The sequence below is a fragment of the Homo sapiens genome, chromosome 17, assembly GCF_000001405.40.
Source record: "Homo sapiens chromosome 17, GRCh38.p14 Primary Assembly".
Classification (NCBI taxonomy): domain Eukaryota; kingdom Metazoa; phylum Chordata; class Mammalia; order Primates; family Hominidae; genus Homo; species Homo sapiens.
The window spans coordinates 67,550,634-67,558,922 of NC_000017.11; the positions used below are offsets into that span (position 1 = coordinate 67,550,634).

At 43.3% G+C, this 8,289-nt stretch overlaps 1 protein-coding gene across 3 annotated transcripts in view, besides 2 other annotated features; it reads left to right on the plus strand.

Annotated features, from left to right (window-relative positions):
* Positions 1 to 8,289, plus strand: part of PITPNC1 (phosphatidylinositol transfer protein cytoplasmic 1) — a 319,976-nt gene that overhangs the window by 173,353 nt on the left and 138,334 nt on the right. For all 3 annotated transcript variants that reach the window (NM_181671.3, NM_012417.4, XM_047435746.1), the window contains exons 3-4: positions 1,624 to 1,712; positions 2,977 to 2,984. In NM_181671.3, the coding sequence (NP_858057.1) occupies positions 1,624 to 1,712; positions 2,977 to 2,984 (97 nt within the window). The remainder of the gene's footprint in view (positions 1 to 1,623; positions 1,713 to 2,976; positions 2,985 to 8,289) is intronic.
* Positions 4,916 to 5,417: an enhancer, noted in NCBI's record as "H3K27ac hESC enhancer chr17:65551665-65552166 (GRCh37/hg19 assembly coordinates)". NCBI's record gives its function as "activates a minimal SCP1, AML or CMV promoter by ChIP-STARR-seq in primed H9 embryonic stem cells {active_cell/tissue: H9 hESC(primed)}" and the evidence as "EXISTENCE:reporter gene assay evidence [ECO:0000049][PMID:30033119]".
* Positions 5,418 to 5,917: an enhancer, noted in NCBI's record as "H3K27ac hESC enhancer chr17:65552167-65552666 (GRCh37/hg19 assembly coordinates)". NCBI's record gives its function as "activates a minimal SCP1, AML or CMV promoter by ChIP-STARR-seq in primed H9 embryonic stem cells {active_cell/tissue: H9 hESC(primed)}" and the evidence as "EXISTENCE:reporter gene assay evidence [ECO:0000049][PMID:30033119]".

Sequence of the window (8,289 nt, forward strand, 5' to 3'; positions counted from 1 at the left end):
ACGTCGTCTTCCTGGATCCGATCGACTGCTAGGCATGAGTGGCCCAGACACTTAGCTATAGGCCCCAGAGTAGAAAAGTAGCAAATGGTAGCCTCTGGAAGGACAGAAACACTTGGTTATCGGGCTGGAATAAAAATGAAATCATGGGCCGGGCGCAGTCGCTCACACCTGTAATCCCAGCACTTTTGGAGGCCGAGGCGGGTGGATCATGAGGTCAGGAGATCGAGACCATCCTGGCTAATACGGTGAAACCCCGTCTCTACTAAAAATACAAAAAATTAGCCGGGCGTGGTGGCTGGCGCCTGTAGTCCCAGCTACTCAGGAGGCTGAGGCAGGAGAATGGCGTGAACCTGGGAGGCGGAGCTTGCAGTGAGCCGAGACTGCACCAGTGCACTCCAGCCTGGGTGACAGAGCGAGACTCCGTGTCAAAACAAAACAAAACAAAACAAACAAAAAAGTGAAATCATGCAGATGTATCTTAAGGAATAGAAATATTACATATTTCAATATAATATTTAAGGAATTAGCTGGGGCTGCACTGTTCTCTAAGTTTTGCCTCTGAAGAAAAACAAAACATTGCTTTCTGGTTTGCAAAAGACCCTGGGACCTGTGCCTTTTGAGAATTTGTTTTCTGCAAATGACTGCTCCAGAGGAACAGCTGTGTCATTTTATTGGCTTTCTAATAACTTTCCGAAACAAATTGCTGCAAATTAGGTGGATTAAAACAACACAGATTTATCCTCTAGCAGTTCTGGGGGCCGGAAACCCAAAATCAAAGTGTTGTTTTCTTCTGGGGAAACTGAGAGAGAATCTGTCCCGGGCCTCTGTCCCAGCTTCTTGTGTTCTTTGGCTTGCAGCAACATCATTTCCATGTCTGCCTCTGTCCTTGCATGGCTGTCCCCTCGGTGTGTCTCTGAGTCTCAAATCTCTTTCTCCTTTCTCTTATAAGGATACCAGTCATTGGAGTTAGGGCTTACCCTAAATCCAGGATGATTTCATCTTGTGATCTTTAAATTAATTACATCTGCGAAGAGCCTATTTTCAAATCAGGTCATATTCACAGTTACTGGAGATTAAGATGTGGATCCATCTTTTGGGGCAGACACAATTCAACCCACTACAACTGTATTTTGTTGCTCTTCCTATCTCTAAGTTGCTGCTCTCTGTTGGTTTTGTCCATTTTCAAAATGTCACTTGTATGAGTTGCTTAGGCTGACATCTATCTCTAAGATTAGCTTCCTCTCCCTGCCAGTGTTTGGGCTTAAACATTCCGTGATACCACTCCTAGGAGGCAAAGGTCAGGCTGGCCAACCCTCCAAACATGGAACCCTTCAGGCCCTGAATTCTCATGTCTTTGCAAATCCAAAGAGGACAGGCTGACAGTCTGATGGAGTCCCCCACCAGGCTGTAGCCTTCTGTCTTTACACATTTTGAGAGCACTTGAATATGCACGGGAAAAAGTTAACTATGACAAAGACCGAAGAGATGGGGAAAGGGCAGCTGTGGAGAAAAGAGATGCCCCAGAATCCCCCTGATTTCTCCAGCATTTTATCCAGAAAGATGTGGTAGTGTGGTGAGACTCTGAACAGACTCCAATTGTCTTTTTTCTTTCTTTCCTCTTAGCAAACTGCCTAGTTGGGCTAGAGCTGTTGTCCCCAAAATATTTTATGTGACAGAGAAGGCTTGGAACTATTATCCCTACACAATTACAGGTAAGTCCTTAGTACAACCATATGGCACATGTAGTGAGTGCAAGGACATAGCATAGTTGAATTTCACTGATTTACAGTGGATTATCCAAGCAGGGCCTTGTGGGAGCCCCGTAGTATCCCTCTTTTTTTTTTTGGTTTCTTACTTGTAGGTTATCAACACTTCTAACACAGACACAGAGATGGCAGGTGACAGGGGGGTTAAGCTAAGCCATTCCATCTTCGTTCTTAGAGTTACAATAAATAGTTTACGGAGGGCCAGGCGCAGTGGCTCACTCCTGTAATCCCAGCACTTTGGGAGGCCGAGGCAGGTGGATTACGTGAGGTCAGGAGTTCGAGACCAGCCTGCCCAACATGGTGAAACCCCGTCTCTACTAAAAATACAAAACCAGGAGGTGGAGGTTGCAGTGAGCCAAGATTGTGCCACTGCACGCCAGCCTGGGCAACACAGCGAGACTCCGTCAAAAAAAAAAAAAAAAAAAGCTTATGGAGAAGGAAGGTGAAGATCTTTATAGAGACATTTCCAGAGGTTTTATGATTCTTATTTCCCTGTTTCCTCAATAATTCCCAAGTAATTTAGGGGTATAATTTGTCTGTAAACAAGTTGCTTATTATGACTTGTTTGTTTTTACCACTCCAAATTTTGACTATACTTTGTATAAAAGATTCTATTGGATCTCTCTTTGCCCCCAGATGACTTCCTTTGCTATTAGATAATATGAAAATATTTAAGGTCAGTCTCCCTCTCACTTGCAATGCGATGACAATAAACTCTTTGTACTGAATACTGTCCTAGAAACTTTGGCCAAAAAAACTCAGAAGGTTTGGTTCCTGCCCTCAAACACACCAAAATTTGAAATCCCACCTCAACGTCATCAATAACAAGCTCTTCTTATTGGTTACAAAAGCTGCTTTTCCACTTAAAAGATTTCCTTTGTGGTTAATGAAATACTCTACTGGAATTATTAGTCTTTCATTTGCTTTTATAATGCCAACTCTTTGGTTTTTAATTAGCCACAAGCCTATAGGCTAATTGAATCTTGTCTTACTGTTCTTATCTGCCCAACCACATAAGTATCATGAAAGAATTTCAGTGCAACACGGAGACATTCAGTATTTATGAAAGTTTCATTAGGACATCTTTTGTAATTATAGTTCGTCAGTATTTGTTAGTTCTGTGGTTTTTATATTGCATATAAGCATGATCTAAATCATCTTTTGTCTCTTTTTTCTTTCCTCTCTTCTTCAAATGAACATGTGGAAACAGAATACACAGTAAGTTCCATTTAATTATTTTTAAACATTCTGTCTATGATCAGTGGAGTAATTGGAATGTCTCTTGTATTACTTGTCTTATCAATGTAATAATTAAAAAGGGGAATAATTCCAAGTCAGAAATATTTAAATGTAGGCTATTGCATCGTTATATATAATGCAATAATTTGAATGTTCTCATTTGTTCAAGAATGTGAATCCTAATTGAAATCGCCTTGATAGTCACTTTACGTAATCAGCCTTTGCTTGTAATTTTTAAATAGCTTGACTGCTTTGTTGGTGATAGTTCACTATAATAAAAGAACAGTTTCTAGCAACGTGATATTAAAGAGATGATGGTAGTTATCGATGGAAGGTGGGGCTTTTACTCATGGACTGTGTCCTGATTCCTTGTTGGAGAAGCTTGAAAGTGAAGAGGCACATGTGCAAACTATTTTGCACAACAGAGATCTGGGTTGGGCAGTCGCTGTGGCTTGATAAAATTTCTTCTTCTCCTAAGAGCCTCTAGGGTTATTACTTAGACTGAAAGAAAAAAAGACAGAACCTATAATATCATTGTGTTGTGGTATTTTCATTTAGATCATTTTCCCAAGCAGCTAACAGGTCAACCTATCACAACAAGAAAATAGTTTATGATTTTTTTTTTTTTTTTTTTTTGAGATGGAGTCTCGCTCCATCACCCAGGTTGGAGTGCAGTGGCACAATCTTGGCTCAACAGAAACTTTCACCTACCGGGTTCAAGCAATTCTCCTGCCTCAGCCTCCCAAGTAGCTGGGATTACAGGTGTGCACCACCACGCCCGGCTAATTTTTTTATTTTTGGTAGAGATGGGGTTTCACCATGTTGGCCAGGCTGGTCTCGAACTCCTGACCTTAGGCGATCCGCCCACCTTGGCTTCCCAAAGTGTTGGGATTACAGGTGTGAGCCACCACACCTGGCTAATAGTTATGATTTTCTGAGCTGTGTTAAGAGTTGAGTTTTTGGGTTCAATCCAAATAGCCAAAGGATAGAGAGGTGGTGAGAGAAATGGAAGAAAATGATTTGTCATGCCCTGGGCAGGAGCATAGTACCCAACGCATCGTAGGTGCTCAATCAATAGTTATTGAATGACAGAATGAACACACAAATTCTAGATAGATAAATGGTCCCAGCACAGGCTTTGGCGTCAGAAAGGCTTGGCTGTCCTCTGGTTTTGCCACTCACTGCCAGAATTCCTAAGCGACTGGCTCCCAACTGCCAGTTCTTGAATTCACACTGGTCCTCGACTATGTTCTCACCAGTCCTCTGCAGAATGAAGAAAAAACAGGAATAGTATTCAGAGATTTTCATAACATTAAATTTATTTCATCCAAAGTACTGTTGGTAATTATATCCCATCATACTCGGATATTAAAATATCTTTTCTTTTTTGAAATGATAGGAATATATATAGTATTTCCCCCCGCAATGTCCCTAACTTTGAAAAAAGAGGCAATTTTATGGCAAAATGCAAATGTAAAATTTTAGAAGCAGGGGAACCTTTGCTCTAGAATGAACATCTTAACTTTTCTGAACCTGTTTCCTCTTTTCTGAAATTAGAATAATCCCTCCTTCCTAGAGATGTTAGCGGAAGGATTCAGTGGTCTACCCTTGGATTGGAAAACATTGTCTTTAGAGGGTCATATTGTAAATGTTTTCTGTTTTGTGAGTCATATAGTCTCTGACACTGCAAGAGCAGCCTTAGATAGTATGTAAACAAATTAGCATGGTCATATATGCCCAGGCAGCGGGTCAAATTTGTCCCCCAGGCTACTTTGCCAACGCTAAATATAAAGCTGTTAGCACACTGCCTGTATACAGCAGGTAATTAAATGATTCCCTACCACCAACACTACCCCCTAGTTCCATTGCTTCTGGCAACTGCATAATCATCAAGAGGTAGACTTTGGGCCGGGTGCAGTGGCTCACACCTGTAATCCCAGCACTTTGGGAGGCCGAGGCAGGTGGATCACTTGAAGTCAGGAGTTCCAGACCAGCCTGGCCAACATGGTGAAACCCTGTCTCTACTAAAAATACAAAAAAAAAAAAAAAAAAAAAGGTAGTTGGGTGTGGTGGCGGGCGCCTATAATCCCAGCTACTTGGGAGGCTGAGACAGGAGAATCATTTGAACCCAGGAGGCAGAGGTTGCAGTGAGCTGAGATCACACCACTGCACTCCAGCCTGGGCAACAGAGTGAGAGTCCATCTCAAAAATAAAAAATTAAAAAATTAAGTCAACGGTCATTTATTAGGCATCAGTGAGGTACAAAACATCATGCTAGATGGCATAACTGAGCAATTATCTCTGTCATTTGGGGTCACAATCTGGTTGGAAATAGCTGGACATTCCAGTCAAAGCCTGGCAGTCATCAGCAAGTGCTGGGCTTTTCTGGAGGCAAGAGGGGACTTAGCCAAGGAAACAAGCTGGCCTCAGACCTGTCCACTGGGCTGGATAAGCTCTGAACTGAGCTGCCAGCAGAGATTCAGACCTCAGCAGAGGGCAGAATCAATGACTCTGGGGAATCCAACCAGATAAAGCAGTTGCAATGTGAAAAGAAGGGTGCTGGCCTCTGCATTGGGGCCTTGAGTTTTGGGGACAGGGCTACAGTCCCCAATGTGGGAGACAGGAAGAAAAGTACACAGCACTCAAGGAGGTTACTCAGTATCATGGTGCTGGGGAGATAAGGTTGTCAACCTTAGTAAGTGAAAATACAGAATGTCCAGGTAACTTTGAATTTTCAGATAAACAGTAAATAATATTTAGTATAAGAGTGTCCCACATGTTGCATGGGACATAATTATGCCAAAAGATTGTTGTCTCATATTTTGTCTGGCAAATTTATGGGAGAGAGATGGTGGTGTGGAAGAACTGGTCTCAGAGACTCAAGTACAAAAATCAGTTATGAGAACAGGGCACACTGATGGGCCAAGGGAAGGGAGGGGTCCAGAAGTATGTAATGTGGGAACCCATCCTGCAATTGACATGCCATAGGAACTCTAAGGTCAGACCAGAGATTCAGCCATCTGGTCTGAATCTCTGCTGGCAGCTCAGCTCAGAGCTTGTCCAGCTCAATGGACAGGTCTGAGACTAACAGTCAAATGCACTGATGGGACCACTCCAAGAGCCTTCCTGCCTCAGTTAGGATTGGCTCAGGAGGTGGAATGGAAGGAGCTAGGCAGAGTTCGGGAAAATTAAGTGGTAGCAGATGAATACATAACTGTCAGCATTTTAAGGAAGAACTGTGTTGCATGTAAGTGTTAGAGCTGAAGTGCAGACAGAGGATTGTAGGAAGGAGAGAGGGATTCTGCCAGGGAGAAATATGAGGAGGTTTCTCAGAGAAGGTCGCATTTGGGCTGGACCTGAAGGGACAGTACAACTCCCCCTGCAGAGGCCTGTTCTGTGTTAGCTCATGTTGCTCTAATGAAACACCACAGACTTGGGGGCTTGAGCAGCAGACATTTATTTCTCACAGTTGCAGAAGCTGAAAGTGCGACTGGGTTCCTGGTGAGGGCTGTCTTCCTGGTAAGCACGTGGCCATCTTCTTGCTATGCCCTCACATGGCAGAGACAGAGCAAGTTCTCTGGTCTCATCTTTGAAGGGCACTAATCCCATCATGAGGGCCCCACCCTCGTGACCTCATCCCTACCTGATTAGTCCCAAAATCCCATCTCCAAACACCATTGCACTGGGGATTACAGCTTCAACATAGGAATTTGGGGGAGACACAGTTCGGCCCATAGTATGCTCCTTCCAGGACCAGTGGGCAAGTGATGGAGGTGGATCCTGGCCACCTGGACACATGGATGGAGGGCAGGTCGTGGTGTTTTCAATGTCAGGTCAAGGTCTAGATTTAATTCTCTGTGAGGAGGTCACATTGTTCCTGGCTAGTTCACTTTTATTTTCCATCCCAAATATAGGACAGCTTTTCTTTCCATCTCCCTGGTGACAAGGGGATCCGGATTTTTCTCTCTGGCTCTAGTGCAGTCCTCCGGGCCCACAGTGTGCGGTTTGAAGCTGCCACCTCTTGACTCAGATTCAGCCGTGTTCTCACGCTCTCTGTCCACGACAGCCCTGGTGGCAGAACCCACCCTTGACTCTGACTACAGAGTCTGCACCCAGGATTTATGACAGATGCTTTCAGTTGCCTTAGTCTTTTTTCCTGTTTTAAATGCTTTTGAATTGTGCTCTTTATCCCCTGATCCTTTAATCCTAAATACCTCTTCTTGCTGTCTTTCCCAAGCTCCATAGTTCCTGTTCGGTGCCTCAAAGCAAAACTTCCCCAAGGTCAGAGCCCCAGTTAGGATCACGGTGCCCTTCCTTTCCTCAGAGAGGCAGCCCGGAGGGCTCAGAAACCTCCAAACCAATGTCTCTTCTTGGAAAGCATTAGTCCAGAGCACGAGGATGTCTATACTAGGATCCCCTAGGTCTTATATCTGACTGTTTAGCCTATTACTCAGACCTCATGCTGCCCTCATTCGTGACAAAGCCCAGGCAAAGAAACCTATTTAGAGTCATCTAGGGCTTCAGCACTATCACAATTATCAAGACATAAGAGCTTTTTCATCACTGTGAGTGACTGCGTGTGTTTAGAATTATGTGGAAATGCCATTTGCCCAGGAAGTGGGAAAAACATCTTTAGCTTGCTTATGGGAAAAAAAAAACACTTAATTATACAGTAAACAACAACACAATGACAGTTTCACAGAGGACAGACCATTCAACCAGTTCTTCCAAACTGGTGGGTTCTTCTGAAGTTGGTAAAGTCTGCAAAGAAAGGTGCCTGAGGAGACTGGCTGCCTTCCAAAGGAGTTGATTTTGTTTTTCTAGAGCTAAAAAAAAAAAAAAGTCTGCGCTTTCAGATGAGCATAAATCAGCAGTATCAATTCAGCCTTGGTACTAATGAAGAACAAAGGATTTTCTTCTTGTTTGTAGGAATTTGAAAACTTAAGTTACAGGAAATGGATAGCAGGGACCTAGAGTAATACAGTTGGCGTATATATTTTGCGACCGTGATCACCCCTCTCCACCGGCATCTCTCTTAATAAGAATCCACAAAAGAGGAGAAATGGGATGCACCTTTGTGTTAGTTAGAATGACAGAAGCAAAGGCAGATGGGTTGTCAATGTTACCCAACATTTTAAATTATTTAGATGAGAGAGGTGGAAAAATAAAATTGCAACAGACCAGGGAGGATGAAATGACTCTTTCATGAGAACCTCAAATCGTATTGAGCCACTATGAGAGAGAGATTACTCAGGGCTGGTTTAGAAGAGCCAAGAAAGAGAGG